The sequence below is a fragment of the Homo sapiens genome, chromosome 7 (assembly GCF_000001405.40).
Source record: "Homo sapiens chromosome 7, GRCh38.p14 Primary Assembly".
NCBI classification, from domain to species: domain Eukaryota; kingdom Metazoa; phylum Chordata; class Mammalia; order Primates; family Hominidae; genus Homo; species Homo sapiens.
This window is the reverse complement of record NC_000007.14, coordinates 38,535,738-38,555,975: the sequence shown is the minus strand read 5'-3', so window position 1 is coordinate 38,555,975 and position 20,238 is coordinate 38,535,738. Positions and strand designations below refer to the sequence as shown.

Genomic DNA, 20,238 nt, shown 5'->3' with positions numbered 1-20,238 from the left:
CTTCCCCACAAGCTCTAGGAGTCCCCATTGTCTGTTGTTGCCATCTTTATGTCCATGTGTACCCAATGCTCAGCTCCCACTTATAAGTGAGAACATGTGGTATTTGGCTTTCTCAATAAATTTTTTTTCTAATATCTAAAGTATATATGCTTATAGAACATTTGGAAAACACTACAAATTATGAGAAAAAAGTGGGAAAACCCATAATTTGATCCCTGTTGACTTTAGGCAGTGGAAACATACTTGCTCATAGCCTTCAGATCTATCTAATTTTTATAATTTTCTTATTATCATACAGAATTTTTCACATAGTAAAATACTGTGAATATTTTCCTGTGTTTATGAAGATTCTGGAAATGAATTTATTATTAAGCCTAGCATTCCTTATTATAATATTCCTTAGAACCTAACACATGGGAATTCTTTGAAGATGGGGCTGAAGTTAAATTCCTCCAGAGGAGATTTTTGTTTGTCAAGGCCAGCCCTTGCAGGTACCATCAATGAGGGGACTATGAATTCATCAGCTCAGAACTGCTTTATTATTTATGAATGTATGTATTTATTATTTTTAAAGACAGGGTCTCTCTCTGCCACCCAGGCTGGAGTATAGTGGCATGATCATAGCTTACTGTAGCCTCAAACTCCTGGGCTCAAGCAATCCTCCTACCCACAGCTGGGACTACAGGTGTAAGCCTCCATGCTTGGCTAATTTTTTTTTTTTTTTTTAAATTGTGTTAGAGACAGGTTCTCACTATGCTACCCAGGCTGGTCTTGAATACCTGGCCTCAAGTGATTGTTCACTGGTCTCCCAAAGAACTGCATTAAATGAAATTCTCCACTTGAGATTCTAACTCTTGCCCTGACATGGGACTGTGGACCTCAAATGCCATGGCCAAGTTGTGCTCACCACTTCAAGGAAAGGGTTTCTTTCCACTTCCCCCAATAGCCAGGTCAAAACAGGCAACTTTTCTTTATGCTCTCCTTCTGGGGACAGGTATAATTCTAATTCACCATTTACAGGTACCTTAATTCACATTGAAAGTGTAACCCCTTGGGGTCTTAACCTTATGCAGGTTAAGGTTGGGGAGAAGAGGGTGTGCATCTCCTGGTAGACTTCTCACTCTGGCTTAGCCGTATCTAAACTTTATATCTGATTGGTCCCACCAGTGCAGCTGTCAAAACAGTGGAAGATGCCCTCTGGGCTAAAGCCTCCCACACCATTTTATTGGCCTTGTGGAATTCCTGACTTTCTGCTAGCTCAGCAATGCATTGAAAACAAGCTTATATTTTGTCTGGAAATTTTGAGTTGGAGAGTTGTTCTGGGTTTCTAGCCCACTCATAATTTAAGAAGTGGAAATGCCAGTAATATATTTAACTAACTATTTTTGGATATTTAGTTTGCCATTACTGTTTTGCTATTATAAGTAAAGTATTTATAATGAACATTCTTGTAGTCTTATCTTTGGGCATATCTTTGATTTTTTTTAAAGCATATTTATAGAAGTAGGATTGCTGGGTCAATAAGTATAGACATTTTAAGGGATTTTGATAAATGCTGCCAAAGTGTACTCCAGAAAGGCTAAATCACATTGTGACTTCACAAAAACGCTCATTTACTGATTTTAGCCTTCTATAGAACATGATTGTGAATTCTTCTGAGACATACACATGGAGCAGACAGGAAGGCCCAGGATGCATTTGGAGTTACTTGAGCTTCAGATTTACCTGGTTATCTGCTGAATTTGGGAAGCCACCAGAAATCATAATGTGCACAAATCCAAGATTCTTCATGGGCTTCAAAGGGAAAGAGGCTTGGGTAGGCTTGATGAAAATGCCCAGAATGTGGCTCTGTGCATCTTCCTGGTGTCAGGAAGCTAGTCCCAGCCAGGCAGGGGAATTGGAGGAGTGTGGACAATGGAATGTGATGTGGCAGAAACGATGCAGCTGGGGCTGCGGGTCACTAAGGCCCCCAGCACCTTATGAGGAGTGCTCTTTTGGAGGCAGAGTCTAGTGATGCTTAAAGAGCCCCAGCTCTTTGGTTGTAAATTCTCTAATAAGCTCAATACTCCTAACAACTCTGGTGAAACCAGGAAATGATCTGTCTTTTTTATCTGTAGCCAAAACCAAACTCTTTTTTAGCCTGCAGGGTTGGAGGATGAGACTCCAAGCATGTGATTCCAGCCCTGCCCAGAGGGCTTTGCTGTGAAAACCACCAGGCTCCAATGTGTATCAATTTGAGTTTTGGAGTTTTATTTTACAGAAATCAAATTTTGGCAATACTCAAGGCCCCATGAAGTGTAATGAAAGCTCAGGAGGACAATATTTAATCTGAATAAATATCTGTTGTCCTTCCTTGGGTGCAGGCTTGTTTTGCAATTAGGACTTTAGAATTTTAACTCAGTGTAATGTATATTTAAATGCACACTGCTTGATGTGCTTTAAAATGGCACGTGTGATCCCTCAGTAACCTATTTCCAGACATCGTTTTTTATTCCGTGACTATGTATATTTGCATGTGTGTTTTAAAACTACAAAATGGTTGTCTGCAGCCCCCTTGGGTTCAGGATGGGTACACTGGAACAGTGATGATCCCCAGGGCCAGAGATGGTCTGGGACTCTATCAGCCAGAGCTCGGCAGGCAGGAAGCAGAGTTCAGCACAGATGGTTCAAGAGGCTTTACTGCATGGAGTGTTTGTGGAAGTGTGGGAAGTGTTAAGGGAATCCACAGTGGAGTTGAGGCCCCCAAAGACCAGTAACAATAGCATGAAGCTATAACCACTGCAAGGCCGGAAGAGGCAAGGAGAGAAAATGGTACAACTGGTCCCAGTGAGATCAGAAGTCATAAAGGAGAGGTCTCCAGACAGGTATGAATTGACCTAGGGACTGCCAGAAATAGTTCAAAGCAGGATGGAGCAGGGCCTGACCTTTCCTCTCCTGCTGGTGCCTCTCCCACTGGCTTACAGGAAGTTAAGATCAAGGGAACCTGGGTAATGCAGTCCATTGGGTCCGTTCCCCTGGGCACAGGGAACAGCAGAGATTGGATTTGGGGCTGGCAGAAGGTTGCATCTTTGTCTCTGGGAGGTCTCAATGCACATGTATTTCACAGATAGTTTTATTTAATTAGTTGTCACTTGCATCATGAAAGAGCGATAGAGAAAGAGAAGAGGAGGAGATGAGAAAACTTTAGCTTCTACTTGGCAGAACAGGGTCAAGGTCATGAACCTTCTCCAAAGCTCTTCCCTTCCCTTATTTGAGCCTGGCTGATATTGAATTATTTACATAGGGAAATTAATGGTGCTGATGTGTGCATCCCAGTAACCTGACATACACCTGGCAGGGATTATAATGTAGAGATTGTGTTTGGGCACAAGTGGTCTTCAGGACCCTGATTGGAGATGCAGGTCAGTAAACAGAGGAGGAAAGGAGGCTCACAGAGCCTTGGTGACTTATTCCAGGTGATAGAGCTTGCACTTGGTAAAATCAAGACATCTAATTATTAGTTCATGTTGCTTACTTCTGGGTGTTGTATAAATTGGGTATTAAATTAAAATAATTACTCCTATGGAATATGCATAGGGATTTGCCCATATCTGGCAAATGAGAGCAGTTCTGGTGCTCATCCAAATGATCTGTGCAGACCTCCTGCATCAGAAGCCTGCCAGCTGGTCCTTATGCCAGCCAGGCCAAGGAGCTCTGTTTCTGAAGTGCAGGGGGTCCTGGGGTCTGGATCTCTATGGTGTGGCCCAGAGTTCCCTCCAAGTCCATTTGGTACAGATTAGTCTTGCAGGATACTCATTTTTGACAAAAGGGTTCTCTTGTCAGAAAAGAAAAATTGGAGAACACTGCATTCTGCATCTTCCTCTTGGAGATTCAAAATGTACTTGGCATATTAAGTCTGTATGAAGTTTTCTGGTTTCCTGGATAATTTTCTTTGAGAGTGAATTATTTAAATGTACACTTTTTATCTTTTGTTTTTCCAACTAGTTATGTAATCCTTTAGTTTGGCCTTCAACACTGAGGACAGTGTATGTCCACTCCATATTCTAAATTACAAAGGAATTTAGGAATTTAAAAGGAAGTGCATTTCAGTTGCTCTTGCACCCATGTTAATTCCTGAGTGTCATGCAGACATTTCTTTACTTTTCCAATTTTCTAACAGTTTGTTGCTTAACATTTCATAGGCAGCCTACCTGGGATGTGCAGCCACGGATGTTTCTCTCCCTCATTCTTTCTGTTTCTCTTTTCCTCTCTCCTCTTTCCTTAGCATCCCTTTGGCTCTCCACTCACATCCCTGGGTCCATGGGCCGTGGGGGAAGGTATTTGCACTATTTAGGTCCTGGGCATTCTTGGAGGATGTGTAGCCCTTCAGACTCTTTAGACAGACACTTATACAAAATGAAAGTTTCTTCTCTAATACTGGCCACTTTTCGCAGCATAATTTAAATATACTGTATGCTAACAAAGTCTGGGGACTCCTAATAGGAGGTGAGGAGGGAAAGGAAAAAAGAAAGAAGGCAATAAATGATGGGGAGAGAAAACCTGCATTTACTTCAACTGTAAATGTGAAAGAAGCATTGACTATTCTTCCTATTTGCAGATGATCAGAACAGGGCAGACATGGTGCCTTGTTCACAGCCACTTGCTGAGGAGGGATTTGGTTGCTGATTGTTCCTTAGGTTTTGGAGGAAGAAGTGAAGATTGGTTCATTGTTAATGATGCTATGGCACACAAGATAGAGTTAAAGCCTATTTCTTATTTTATGTAAAAAGTCATCGTAGGAAATCTGACATAGATTTGCCTGATGTTAAAATCCCCTGCTTGTAATCTGAGTTGCTTGAAACAGTGGTGCTGAAATCCAAAACCAGGTGCAGCTCATCTGGTTTCAGTTGTTGTTTCCACATGAAAGGGCAGGATCATCCACAGGGGTTTTGAGCAAGCCACTGATGGTTTATCATTTTGGGTCATGGTCAGGAATAGCTTCATGGATGTTACTGTTTCATTTATGTGAAGTTTTTGAGTGTCACTGAGCCAGATATTCAAATTTAATTCACATTTTTACGACAAAAATGTGAAAAATGTGACTAATCAGAATGATTCCACTTCCTGTGGAGATTTGCGGAATCATCTTTTTATACAAATCTAATTGTGATGGCTTCATTAAAATGCAAATTAAACTACAAACAACCGAAACCCAGCCAACCATCCAAAACACTTAAGCATTTGGAAATATTTCCGTCCTCTGCTTAAATAGACATTGGAGACATAGAAAGGTGAGTGGTGGGAGAGGGAGGAGGGATGATAAATTACCTAATGGGTACAATACACACTATCCAGGTGATGGTTACACTGGAAGCCCAGACATCACCACTACGCAGTATATCCATGTAACAAAATGACACTTATATACCCAAAATCTATAAAAATAATTTTAAAAAAGAATGAGGGAAATGCGAAACAGAGATCATGCATGTATTTTAATAACCAGCATTTGTGGTGTATCGTGTGATCATTACAGCTTCAATTTGATTATCTGATCTTTGTCTGCATCAACATCAAATGCCCAGAATAATGACGTTGGTTCCTCCATTTACCTGTAGGGCTTGACATTGAGTTTGTAATTTAGAACAGGCTTTCCAAACTTTAGTGCACAGATGAATTGCATGGGAATCTTGTTAAATTGTGGATTGTACTGTGCAATAGGGCCTGAGATACTGCATTTCTAGCAAGCTCCCTGGTGAGGCTGATGCTGGTGTGAGGACCCACTTTAAGTGGCAAGGATTTAGGGGAGGAAATGTAAGGGAATGAAAGGATTTCATCCAATAAAGAATCAGCATACTTATTGCTTCATACATTCATCAAGATGACTAACTTATTCTTGGAAGCTATGCTATAACAAGAGTTGGAAGTGTTTACTCCTTTCGGATAACCAGGATGTTGTATTGATCAGACAACAACATTCTTTCAATGTTCTCACTAATAAAATATTAAGTGTTGTAAATTATGGCTTTAACAGATACACAGGAGTGGAATAACAAAACCTAAAGTTTTAGAAAGCAAACATATCTCGATCATTTTAAATAGAAGGCAGAGAAATACTTCCATATTATTTCATATAATAAGATGTAGAACCAGTATATCTGGTGAATCTAAAGTAATTATCTTGTGAGAATGCAGTCCATAGAGAGAGGTTTTGTCTTAGTAACATGGTTGGTCATTTTTCTGAAAACAGTCCAGCTTTTTTCTACACCGATTTTTCTAATACCTTACAGCCCCTGTGCTTTACACCAAGACCATATGTGGGATTTGATTTCCCTGTGGACATGAAATAAGGCTCATAGGAAGTTAGTTGTTTGTGGTTGTTTAGTTTTACTATGCTTAGTCTTTTCTAGGTATTAGGGTCAAAGGTTTTGAATGAAACTACCTTTTTAGCAGGGCAGAAATAACTCATCACATTTTCAGTTTTGTATTCTGAAGGTTGGGCTTCTTGTCTCTGAAGAGCTTTGGAGTGGGATGTAGCATCCTTTCTTTATTCTCCTTTTTCCCAAAAATTGTTTTGACTATTCTGCATCTTCTTCCTTTTCAGGTGATTTTGAGAATTAGCTTGTTAATTTCTTCAAAAGAGCCAGATCTTATGTACCTTGTCTCTTATGTACCTATGAAATTGGTTGTGATTGCCTTGCATTCTCAATGGAGGAAAATCAACATCTTACCAATAATGATGAAGCTATGTTGTGTAAACTTTTGTGATAAGTCTTGCAGTCATTAAAAGGGGAAAACAACTTCTGCCCTTTTGATACAGCAGCTAGAAATAAATTATTTAGGCAGATAGTGAGGGTAAAGGAGTCCTCAGCAAGGCTTCCCTTTTAACAAAAAACAAAGCCCCTAAATCATTGCTTTTCTAAAAACAATCAGCCTGAAAAATTGAGCTGCCAACATAGATAAGCAAGCTGGAAGCTTGCACAGGTGAATGCCGGCAGCTGTGCCAATAGAAAAGGGCTACCTGAGAACCAGGCATGTTCAACATGGAGGATCCATCTTCTGTTTCTTTGTTACCACAGTGAAAAAGCAGACAACATGGCACTGGCCACGTAGACAACTCAACTGCGTAATAAAAGATTAGGGTGAGGCAGCCAGCTTGTTTGTGCACTATGCAAACGGCACACCTAGTCCTAACCAGTTCTTCACGTGTGCAAGTGGCACACCTTGTCCAACCAATCTTTTGTGCCCTATGTAAATCAGACACTGCCTTCTCAAGCTCATCTATAAAATCTGCATTTCACTATGGACCAGAAGACCTGCTCGGGACCCCCTCTCTCTGCAGCAGAGAGCTTTTCTCTTTCTTTCGCCTATTAAACCTCCTCTCTTAACCTCACTCCTTGTGTGTTCATAACCTTGATTTCCTTGGCATGGGACAATGAACCTTGGATATTACCCCAGATGAATGATGCCACTTCATTTTAGATACCTCCAGTCAAAGGACATATAAAAGGAAAATTAATCTTGGGACCCCAAAATCACTAAGCCAAGGGAAGAGTCAAGTTGGGAACTGTGTCAGGCAAACTTGCTTCCATTTTATTCCTAAATAACATAGCTGTTTAATACAAAGATAAAAAGGCTGCATACCTCCCTCAAAATTTGCCCACAAGGGGCCGGGTGCAGTGGCTCAAGCCTGTAATCCCAGCACTTTGGGAGGCTGAGGCAGGCAGATCACGAGGTCAGGAGATCGAGACCATCCTGGCTAACATGGTGAAACCCCATCTCTACTAAAAATACAAAAAAATTAGCCGGGTGTGGTGGTGGGCACCTGTAGTCCCAGCTAAACGGGAGGCTGAGGCAGGAGAATGGCGTGAACCCAGGAGGTGGAGCTTGCCGTGAGCGGAGATCGCACCACTGCACTCCAGCCTGGGCGACAGAGCGAGACTCTGTCACAAAAAAAAAAAAAAAAAAATTTGCCCACAAGGAAATTCCTAGTAGGCAAAGGACAGACAGAACTCAAAGTCATCACCCTGAGGCTCACATGAGACAAATGCGTATATCTGGTTGCTTCCACTGCCCTATTGTTTCACTAAGCCAGTGAAGGCGTAAGTGACTATTTCTGTAAGTTGTATATTCAGTGGAAGTCTAATCAGAAACTCAAAAGAATGCAACTGTTTGTCTCTTCTCTACCTATGATCTAGAAGCCCTCTTCTCCACCTCAAGTTGTTCTGCCTTTCCAGAGGAACCAATGTACATATTACACATATTGATTGATGTCTCATGTTTCCCTAAAATGTATAGAACCAAGCTGTGCCCCAACCACCTTGGGCACATGTCATTAGGACCTCCTAAGCCTGTGTCATAGCTTGTCCTTAACCTTGGCAAAATAAACTTTCTAAGTTGACTGAGACTTGTCTCAGATATTTTGGGTTCACAGCTGAACACATCCTACTAAACACTTTTTAATAATTATCCTTTGTCAACTGCAGGGCTTATGTTCCTGAAAAGTGTGTGATTGGCAGACCCCATTGTTGTGGGATTAGTATACTCAGGCTTGCTTAGCATGCAAGTTGTTTTTGGTCTGGTGAATTGTACCAGTTTGTTTCTGCACCGTTTCTACACCGTAACGCACAGTGATGCTTTTTTAGGAGTGTGTTGGATTGTTTTAATTCATTACTTCTCATAGTTTAAGTGTACAAAGGTAGTGGAAGATTTTGAGCTAAGAATTTTGAGACCCAAATTCTATTTCTAGATTCTCTGTGGGGAGGGTTATGGGAAACCAGCAAGGGATTTAGGGGCAGTGGAGGCTGCTGGGGACATTTTTCCCCAGGCCTAAAAGCAAGGGGAGGGAGCTTTTATCAAAGCATATGGAGAGGAGATGCAATTATTGGGGCCACCTGAAAGGCAAGGGGATGAGATGGCTGCTGGTGGTGGCTGGCTGGGAGATAGCCAGGGGAACCAGAACCCCAGGCTCTCCCTCCTCCCACCTTTGCCCGCCCTTGCATCTCTTGCTGATGCTTACCATTGGTTGAGACTAGAGGGAAGCCAGAGGGTCTGGGCAGGATGCGGTTCTTAGGGATTAGCTTCCTGGAGCACCCAGCAGTGTGGAGAAGGGTGGAGAATGGATCTGGAGGGGCAACTGGAGAGAATGCAGCATAGAAGTGTCTGCCAGTATTTACAGATGGTGTAAATAGCTAGCGAAATGCAATTCCAGTATCACGTTTTACTTATCTGTATGCAAGGCTGGTAGGTGTGTTACCCAGGGTCACCAGAATAGAATTCTATCCTTCCCACCCATCTATCATGCAGTCATTCTTATATCCCAAACACTGCATCGTAAAACATACCCCTCCGGATACCCAAATAGCAAACAAGAGAATGTGATGATATTGCCCAAAGCACATACTGGTAACACAATATTTCTTTGAAGTCCCAATTTTATTTAAAAAATTCCTGCAGGTTTTGTATCCAACTTTTTATTATAAAATATCCATGTTAATCATATGAACATGGAAATTTCAGTTTGAGAAGCTCAGATTAAATCTGAAACATAGGTCTCCTACAAAATAGTGTTTAATTTTTTTTTTAGAAATTCACTTCATGCAGATCAGACTTTAAAACAGCTGTGTAAAGTGGAAAATCAAAGCACAGATCAAAGTATAGAAATGTATACAAAAATAATTAGTGCTTCACAAATTCATTCATTTGTCTGTTTATTCATTTGTGTTGATTGCCTGTTCTGCTGGTGAGAAGTATTTTCAGCTTTTGGTACTTCCAGAGCTGGAAGCTGTGTGCTCTGACATAGGCAGCCTCAGATAGCCAGAAGGGGCAGCATCTCTCTGCTACCTTCCGTTACCCTCTGTCCAGGTTCTCAAGGAAGGTTATGAAGGCACTCAGAGTTCCTTCTTGAGCAATCTTTAGAAAACGACCACGTGGACAAACTGAACTGAAAATACTGTGTCCAGCCTTCAACTAGGAGTCATTACCAGAGGAAGTAGGGTTTGGTTTTTTGGTCTATTAGCAATCATCCCCCCCTGTATTTTTTAACTTCCATTCAAACCTGCAATGTATGTATAATTTGTTTTGTATCAGGTTATTTTTATTTTTGGATCAATAAACATTAAATATAGAAACCATCGGTGAAATTGCCTTTGTGATCACGCACATCCTGCTGGATCTGTTTGAAATCCTTGGTAATTATGTCCTGGCAGTTGGGGCATATTGCATGCCTTTTGGGGGACCACTTAAGAACCTGTGGAATTTTGGTGGTACCTCACTCTGAGATTGTGCAGAACATCTACCAATCTGAGATTATGCAGAATGTTTTTTCAAAAGTTACGTAAGTACCGTGTAGCCTATCTCTTTTTCTTCATTTATGATGTGTTTGTGAGGCAAATTACCAAAAGGCATCATTTAATAAAAACAGGAAGAAAGTTTGCTCAAAGAGGATGGGTGGCCCTCCTGATGTCACTCAGTGGCCCCAGGTAGGACTGCAGTGGAAATTTTGGTGTGAGAATTCTGGTCACACTATTCTTTCCACCAAAACCAAACCAAATCACAACAGCCCCGCCTCTGCCACAAACAAACTGAACTTTCAAATAGCTTTAAGTCTTGAAAATAAACCTTAAGGGGGAAAAAGCAAGCTGTTCTTGGTGTAAAGCCGGATCCACCCTTATTCCCCAAGCCCAGATTTTCCTGTACAGGAAGACAGGTATTAGCAGATCTGATGGAGGGATTTGGTCAGGTTTGAATGGGGTCACATGGAAGGATTCCATTTCCTGCTGCTACAAAAGTCTGCTCAAATGTGAGAAACCACCAGTAAAGATGATTTCTAGGAATGTAGACCACCACTCTAGGCTTTCTTGGTTGCATTGGCAACATTGCTGGCACATGTATGGTTCTTGAAATTATAGAATTGCTCAAGAGACACTTACCGAGCTGCAGAAAGAGAGTTGCCAGAAAATAATTCTCTAAGCACAGATGTTTCCATAGACTCTACAGTATCCCTTTAGCTCTAAAAGATCCATCTGTATCATAGAAAGTCGAAGATGTGAGCTTGGCCAAACACGTAAGAATCTCTTAAGAATCTCTTCCATTGGATCAACTGGAAGATCTAAGTTCCCTGTCAGACCTTTGATATTGCAACTTAAAGTGAAGATATGAAGTCAAGGAGAAAAGAAAGAATAAACCCTCATTAAACACTTTTCAGATCAAGCTAGGAGCTTTTGCTTGTGTTCTCACTTAGTCTTCCTAGAGTTGGTATCCTCCCATTTCTAAAGATGAAGAAACTGAGGCTCAACCAAGTTAATCATTTTGCAAAGTTTATCCAGCTCTCAAAAGTGATCAAGTGAGGCCCAGTTTTGTTTGATATTAGCACTTATTTTCTTTCCACTTGTACCCATGAAGTCTCTTAAAATTCAGTGGTTCTTCACCTTACAGAAACCAGGAGACCCTTCCTCCCATCCTGATAAAAGGCACAGCCGTATTATATTAGCCACAATTCCAGGCAATTCCTGGACATCTTGGGATCTGTTCATGGACCCCAGATATAGAACCCAGTATCTAGAGAAAGGCCATGGTCATTTGTGTTTTCCTGCTGCTCCTATGGGACACCTTGGTGGCCTGATCCATAATATTCTTACAAGGAGGGGATGTCCTCTTTGGCCTTTTGCTCATCAGAGGCTAATTAGGTTCCTCTAAGTGATGACAGAGTAGGGAGAACATACATTTTGTATAACTTGCTTCCTCTCCTAGGGTATTTGAATTAATACAATAACCTATTTTGGGAGGGAGATGATGTCATATAGTTTCCATTTAACAAAAGTATGGATCAAGCAGTTATTACATTTGAGTTCCTGACAATATGATATGGTTAGTCAGAGTAGAATCTAAAATAGAGGAAAATGACTTAATTGTCAAGGGGAAAGTAGAGGAGTGTGGTCACCAGGCTGTGTTTCTTTCTCTGCTCCTGTTTTTAGGGCATTATAGTATAGTGGTTAGAATCTTACCAGTTTCCTCATTAATTAATGAGTAAAAAATTAATCATTGATTGATACATCATGTTCACATTGTACTTTATGGGTATTGCGATTTCTTCCTTTTTTTCTTTAACAGTATTCTTTGAGACTCTGTAGATGGATATATAGTCTTTGGTATTTTTCAAACAGAATCGCCTGGATTTTTTTGAATAGAGATTCCTGAGATTATTTCCCATGGAACACATTTTGGGAAACACTATTCCAGAAAGATCATGGTAAATCAGAAGGGTAGCTGAAAACCAAATCCTAGCCTTACATAAACTTGGTTACATACCAGCTGTATGACGGAGATCAATTACTTCACCTCTCTAATTTTCAGTGTTCTCATCAGTAAGATGAACACAATCATAGTAACCTAACTCACAAGATTATCAGGAGGATTAAATACATTTTTAGATATAGGACACTTAGATCTGTGCTTGATATATTGTAAATTTCCATAGGTCATAGCTAATAAATTAGAGAATTATAGATTTAGTAAAGTGGGCATTTTTTATAAGAGGAAAAAAAGCAAGAACATATTCTATCTATCTGCTTCATCTGTTTCATACCCATCATCACAAGCAGCCCCTTCTTGCCTTAGGGAACTTACAGCTCCCATTTGAAATCCTGGGTAGAGTTTTGTGGAATTTCTGTTCTACCTGAGTCAACATCTTCTTTAATATTTGTACAGCAGGTCAGCGTTTTTTTATTTTTTATTTTTTTGAGATAGGGTCTTGATCTCTCACCCAGGCTGAAGTGCAGCGATGCAATCATAGCTCACTGTAGCCTCAACCTCCTGGGCTCAAGCAATCCTCCTGCCTCAGCCTCCCAAGTAGCTGAGACCACAAGCACATGCCACCATGCCTGGCTATTTTTTTTTTTTTGTGGGACAGGGTCTTGCTCTGTCACCTGGGCTGGAGTGCAGTGGCACGATCTCGGCTCACTGCAACCTCTGCCTCCTGGGTTCAAGTGATTCTTCTGCCTCAGCCTCCCAAGTAGCTGGGACTATAGGCGTGCACCAACATGTCTGGCTAATTTTTGTATTTTTAGTAGAGACAGGGTTTCACCATATTGGCCAAGCTGGTCTCAAACTCCTGACCTTGTGATCCGCCTGCCTCAGCCTCCCAAAGTGCTGGGATTACAGGTGTGAGCTACTGCACCCGGACAATTTTTCTTTTTTAATTTTTGTAGAGATGAGGTCTCGCCATGTTGCTCAGGCTGGTCTCCAACTCCTGGGCTCAGGCAATTCTCCTGGCATCGCCTCCCAAAGTGTTGGGATTATAGGAGGTCAGTTTTTACATTGCTAACTCATCTTTTATTGGTCTAATGGATGACTGACATGAAAACTGCCTGAAGAATCTGTATAAAGCAATCAGGAACAGACCCGTTCTGTGGCGAATTTCCCAAATGTAGAACCCTCTCTGGCTTTTGTGGTCACGTATGTTTACAGCAGCTCTGATGCAGGATAGATTACTACCAGTGTGGCAGATGTAAGCTTGCTCTCAAACATCTGGCTGGTAGTATATGGAGGATCCCTTTGCCTAGCTAAGGAACATGAGGACTAATTTACATGATCTAAAGAGGTTGGAGATTCATTGCATTATTCTGTGCAATAATGACATGAGACAGTGCTCTGTTTGTGAATGGGGCCACTGGAGAAGGAAAATCTGGTGTTTATCCGAGTCTCATGGGATGACTCACAGGCTTTAGCAGACTTCCACTGGATTTTGGTATAATTATTATACTCTGGGTTGGATACTGAGGATATCAGGTTCATGAAAAAGTAATTCTGGGACAAGGTGACTCAATCTGGAGGGAGAGCCAGCAGGCAGCAACTCCTGGAGAAGAGGACCATCTTGGATGCTAGGACTCAAATCTTTGCCAGATCAATATTCCTCAAGCTATTTTTCCCCACCAATATTTTTTTTTCTCTTGAAGTCAGAGGACTAAATGTCCTGAAATTGAAAGGGTTAGGAAGGAGAGAAGAGAGCAGCATTCTGCAACATGATACCTTTTCAGGTAGATGTGTGATTGGAAAGCAGCCTTGGCAGGTGCTTACTGCACTGCCTTTTAGGGCCCTTCTCACTTACCTCTGTTCCCATCTAGGGACTAAATTTTCTTTTTTCCCTAGTTTTCTAATTCGCAGTTGCCTCTGTCCTTTCTCCCTAGTTTTCTAATTCCCAGTTGCCTCTGTCCCACTTAGGATAAACCTACTCATGTATGAGACATGTAATTACTGTATGTCATTCTCAACCTTTTAAAGTCTGAAGGCCATTCAAATGGGACAGAGGCTGTGAATATTCTCTCTTATCTATTCTTGTTTACTTTCCCAGAAGTGTTTCCCAGAATTGGCAGGAAGGCTCATGCCAGCCTCAGAGGCTTTGATGACGTGATGGCTAATGCACTGTTAAAATCTACTAAGGTAAGAAGTAGATGTCATAGTGGTATAGAAATAAATCCCCCAGAGGGGAAGCTGGAGGACAATGTGAGGACCTTAAAGGCCCATGAACCACACCGAAGGATGCATTTCTAGTGTTTCATCTTAGTCCTCTCACATTAGGGCAAATTAAATCCACTTCCTTAAGTCCTGACACACACTCGGAAAGAGGTCAAAGGACTAGTACCCTGAAGTTTGGGAAACAGTGTAGGACGTGCCCAGCAGGAAGCTTTAGGACAAGCAGCTACCCTGCACTTACCTCCCCTGATGGCCTCTCCAGTCATAAGTTATGGGACTTTGTAGTGTTAGGGTGAGCACAGGATAAGAACTCTTGATGGATAGGTGGGTATATGGACTGATGAATGAATGAATCATCTGGACATGGGCACAAGTAGAAGACCACCCCTCCATGTCCTGTTCAGAAGAGGCCATGGCCTTCTGATTTAGTTTACTCCTGATTAACTACATGGAGAATGTACACATTATTTTATGTGCTCTTCTTTTTTTTTTTTTTTTTTTTTTTTTAAGAACAGAAAGTGTGAAGAGAAAGGTGTCTCCTTGTTAAAGAAGACTAATTAAATTGTGTGATTTTATTCTTGACTTTTAGAGTCTGGCTCAAGGAAGCGTGAGTCACCCAGAGTTGAAAATTTGTCTAGTTGGAGCCCTCATCAAATGGATGAATGCCACTAAGGCATCTTGGTGGCCAACCCTGCCATCATTCTTGTCTCAGTAACAAGCCATGCCTGGCCTTCACCTTGAACTGCTTTGTGGCCTGCAGCCTTTCCTCTCGTCAACTGCCCCATTTCTGATTGTAGGACTAGCTTTTTTTTTTTTTTTTTTTTTTTTTTTTGCTTGGGGTCACACCTTCTCATAGCTTGACTTTTCTTTGATCTTTTCCCCTGATTAACAGAAGTTATTTCTGTGTGGAATGGAAGATTGTGAACTTTATCTTTGACTTTAAATGCCAACCACTTTTTTGAAAGCTGCCAACACAATATTCCACTCCTAACTTAAAATGGTAAGAGAAGGCAATTAAGATGAAATATTCCAAGTTACCATATTCCTGCTTTTCCTTCCTATTTACTTTTTTACTTGCCTATGTCATGATGTCTTTTAGGACTAGATCACAACTTCTGAGCTTGGGGTGAGGGTTGGAGGAGGAGCACACATCCCTAACAGAATATGTCAGAATCTCACTGAAAGGAAGTGGAATTTGAAAAGCTTAGTCAACATAGTGTATTATTTTGCATTTGAAAAACAGCAGCACTAAAAGTAACAACAAAAATCTTACTGTTTCAAAATACTAACGTGTCAATGTAGATGAAATTGTCTTTGAAGAAAAAGATTCAAGTCTTAAACCAAAATGCACGAGGCACTGAACTTTCTTCCTTTTGCCTGTAGGTGGAAGATGTGTCATGTTGATGTCAAAATCTGCATATCAAATACATAAATACATAGTAATCCTCCTGTAATATCAATAGTGCCACACTGTTCAGGTTTAATTGGTGTTTTCAACACTGCCAAAGGAGTGGTTAATGAAAGAGGTCATTTAAATTATCAGCTCACTGTCAAATACTCGTGACATAGAGCAAGGCAAAAGATGTTTTTAGTCATCTCAGTTCTAGGTTTCACTGTCTTTGGTGTCTTAAGATCTTTTCTATATAGCAGATCAGTCTTCCCACCTCCATTGAGGCTGCTGGAGAAAAATCACAAAACTGCTTACATGTAGGCAACTGCACATCATGGTCTTTGCCTCAGTGGGGCCTAGAGTTTCATGTAAAATTCATGTCATGTGTTTCTGGTTCTCATCTTTTCCAGTTCCACATCTGAATCACTCCCCTCTCCTGGGGACCTTTCCCGTGACCTCACCCCAGTGCTGCTCAGCAGATGATCTGGTCATTTACCCCACAGGAGAGATGGATCTGCTGTGTGTGCATTCCTTCCAATTTGGCCTTTACAAAGGCAATCTTCCCTGCCTTCTCAGAAATCCTTCATGTTTCTGAGGAATGGCTGTGCCTCTTCCTGAGTAAGATGGGTCCTTTCTGGTGAATCTGAGTTGCCACCCCCTTTGAAACTTTTCTTACTGTGTGACCCCCTTATAGCTCTTGCCTCCTTTGATCAGTTCCCTCTGGCCTAGAAACAGGGTCAAGTATTGCTCCTTTGATTCTTCATGCCCCCAAGTTCTGGAAAGAGTACCTACTTGCTCTTCTGATTCCTCTCCTCCTATTTGCTCAATCTACTGTGATCTGTTTTCTGACTGCCATTCCACTAATAGCCCTTGGGAAGGATCCCAGGAACCTTCTGGTTCCTAAATCCAGTGGACACTTTCAGGGCTTTTGGTTTTTAACTTGCTTGAGTTCTCTGTAGCAATTGAAACTGTCTCCTTTGGTTTCTATGAATTTGCTCCTGGTTTGACCATACCTCTGGGTCCCCAGTCTCCTGTCAAGGATTCTCTTCCTCTGCCCGTTCTTCAAATAATGATTTTTCTGGACTGTCTTCAGCTCACTTCTTTCTGAACCTCATATTTTCTCTGGGCTTTCTTATACACTCTAGTAGCTTTACTACCACCATACTCTGGTGATTTCCAAAGTATAAGTGTAGCTCAGAGCATCTCTCAGAACCTTGGCCATATCATGCTATTTACCATATCTCTACCTGGATGCCACAGAGCTGTCTCAAACCCTGCATGTCCAAAATGATGTCTAATTTGTTTGAAGGAATCAATGCCTACTCAGTCTCCCCCAAAGAAATCTGAGGTCATCCTTCACTCTGTTCTGTCCTTCATCTTTTTCATCCCATAAGCCATTATGTACTGTGCATTATGTTTCTTAAAGACTGATCTGTTTCCTAGCTCCGGTTCTGTCGTTTATTGCTTGGACTATTAAAAAGCCTCTTAACTGGTCTCATTATTCCTATCTTGCCTTCTTCTAATCTGTCCCTAACATTGTCACCAAGGAGTGCAGACCTCTCCATGTGGCTTCCTCCAGAGAAACACTTCATTGGCTCTCCATGGTCTGTACAAGAAAATCAAAGTTCTGATTCTTACTGCCTAAGCCTTTCTGAAATCTGTCCTCTGCCTATCATGCCACCCTTGTCCACTCCAGTTCCACACCTCCCACCCTGGGCTTGAATACTATTGAAAGATCACAGTCCCTAGAATGCAGCCTGTTATTCCTGCAGCCCCTTAGCCCAGTGTTTGACACACAGTCTTTAGTAAATATGAAGAGGATTTCTTCTTTGCTACTGTTCATTGTGATTTGCATTCTTCACTAGGGAAAATGCCTAATGTAATACATTTATTATGGATTCTCAGAATGTATTTGAAATGTGACTTAGTCTATTTACCTGTTTGATGAGTAAGTCTCTTCTCTGAGACCCTAACTATTGGTGAAGCTCATGTAACTTCTGGAATGGTGAGCGCATTAACTCTAGCAACAAACTATTTAATTTCTAGGAAACTATGATGAAAACTTTTTGTGAAAACAAATTTTTAATGCACTTTTTGCCTGCTGATGTGAGTTTTGGGTCTTCCTGGCAGAGCAAGTTTGATCCTTCTTTACTCTGATGGTCCTTCCAGTGTTTGAGGATGGCTGTGCTCTTTTCCTTGGGTCTTTTCTTCTCCCTGCTAATATACCAAATCATATCAAGTGTTCTTCTCATCACATAGTATCAACTATCTTTGCCTTTTTGAGAGCTCCTTTTTTTGGCTCCAGATTTTCTGTGTATTTGTGCGTTTACCAACTTGTCCACCTCTGGAAGCGTCCAGGACCACTTTCCTGATAGCTGTTAAGTTTTGTTAGTGCAGACTGAGATTACGTTAGATGCTTTGGCAGCAACATCACTTTGTTGGCTCATATTGACGATCTGTTTAAGTCATCCCTTACTTCTACTTAAGGGTGGAAACCACCCATCCCTAACACCTGTCTTGTTGCATTTTGGTTGCAAGTTGAGTAATAAATCTGGTGCTTGTATAGTTAAGTTTTTGTCCTAAATTTTATCCTTGTTGAATTTCATCTTGTTAAAGAAGGTCTTTTGTGAATCCTGATTCTGGTCATGTAACATTTTCAACATTCTCCCTGGCTTTTTCTCAGTATAAGCTTATACATTGGTGAAGTTCAGTGGGGTTAGATAAAAATAACTATAATAATAATAGATATTATTTATTGAGCATTAACTATATGCTGGCCATCATAGCTTAGTATTTCCATGTGTATCCTTGGTGGTTCCATACAACACTGTGAAGTAGGCACTATTAATATCTTTATCTTACATGTGAGCCACTCAATCAGATATAGGTCCCTCATGGTTGCCTCTGGAAGTCTTATTTTCAGTTTATATTAATTTGCTTATCAATATTTTTTGATGGGAATTTTTTTTGCTGGGAGTTTTTAACCAGCTACTAATACATCCACTTAACTTGTACTAAAATCTAATGTGTACATTTCTTACAAAAACTTTATAGTATGTTAAACTCTTGCGTATTTATGTTAATGAATTTTCTTGTTACTTTAACCATTGAGAAAACTGTGGAAAATATAGAAAGTTATAAAGAAGAAAATAATGATCACTCTTAATCTTATCACCCAGAAATAGCCACTATTAACTTTTTAACATAGTTATAGTCTTTTTACATATATACATAATTTCATGTTTCTTATGTTTATCAAGTCTTCCCTAGTTATAATGCCCTATTCTTCCAAAAATGCAGTGTATTCTGCTCCACCTTTCAAAGAAACCCTGCTATAAGTGACAGGAGAGTATTAGTTAATACAGTGATTATGTGTCCTTTTAATATTTATGATACTAGATTCCTGCAGCTTCTGAAAAATAATACATTTACAATGAAAAATAGCATATTTCATATTACTTACATGTAGTATTGGTTTGTGAAATGAAATTGAGTGATATTGTATAATTGGTAATACATGTGTGAATCTGTTTACAATTTTATTTAAAACATATATCTTTATTAATGACAGTGAAAAGGAAGAAATACTAGCACATTTTATGAGCAACTATTTTTAGAATAGAATACAAAATCATTTTTCGTTTAGAATAATTACTTTTGCTCCGAAGAAAATTGACCTCTTGAAGAAATCTGCATGAACTCTGACTTATTGGGTAACTACTTTGATACTTAGGTTTATTTATTAATATAACATTATAAATGTATCTTGGGGAAAATATACGAGCTATGAAAATGTCTAGTTAAAAAAGGGATGTGTATTGTTTATTTTGTTATGCAGGAAAATGAGTTCTTGTATTCCTAAAGTATATTAGTTATCTTCCTTCTGCCCTACTTTTTAAAGGCAGCAAGTACAATTTGTTACTTATGTCCTGTGTCCCAAAGAGACTCTATGCTGTGTCTTTAACTTATCCTTGATTTGTTATTTGTGGACCTGCCTTGTCTATTCCGCTAAAATATACATTTTTTAGGATCAAGTGTTGGGGCCTTGTTTTTTAGTATTTCTGGGTGACCCGTGTTTAGCATGGGGCCTTGAGTATCCCATGATTTCTTTGAGTGTTTATTGAGTTGAAGGGAGTATCAGAAGATGGTGAGACGGAACTTACCATCATCCTGGCTTCTAATACTGTCCCTATGAAGTAGATCAAGGGTCCCCAAACCCTGGGCCTCAGACTGGTACCAGTTTGTGGCCGGTGAGGAACCCAGCCACTCAGCAGGAAGTGAGCAGCAGGTGAGGGAGCATTACCACCCGAGCTCCGCCTCCTGTCAGATCAGCAGCGGCATTAGGTTCTCATAGGAGAGCAAACCCTAGTGTGAACTGCACATGCGAGAGATCTAGG

The 20,238-nt window shown here is 40.6% G+C and overlaps 1 protein-coding gene across 8 annotated transcripts in view; it reads left to right on the top strand.

Moving 5' to 3' along the window:
• AMPH (amphiphysin) overlaps positions 1-20,238 on the top strand; it is a 247,670-nt gene that overhangs the window by 75,398 nt on the left and 152,034 nt on the right. The gene's annotated exons all lie outside the window — the stretch shown is intronic.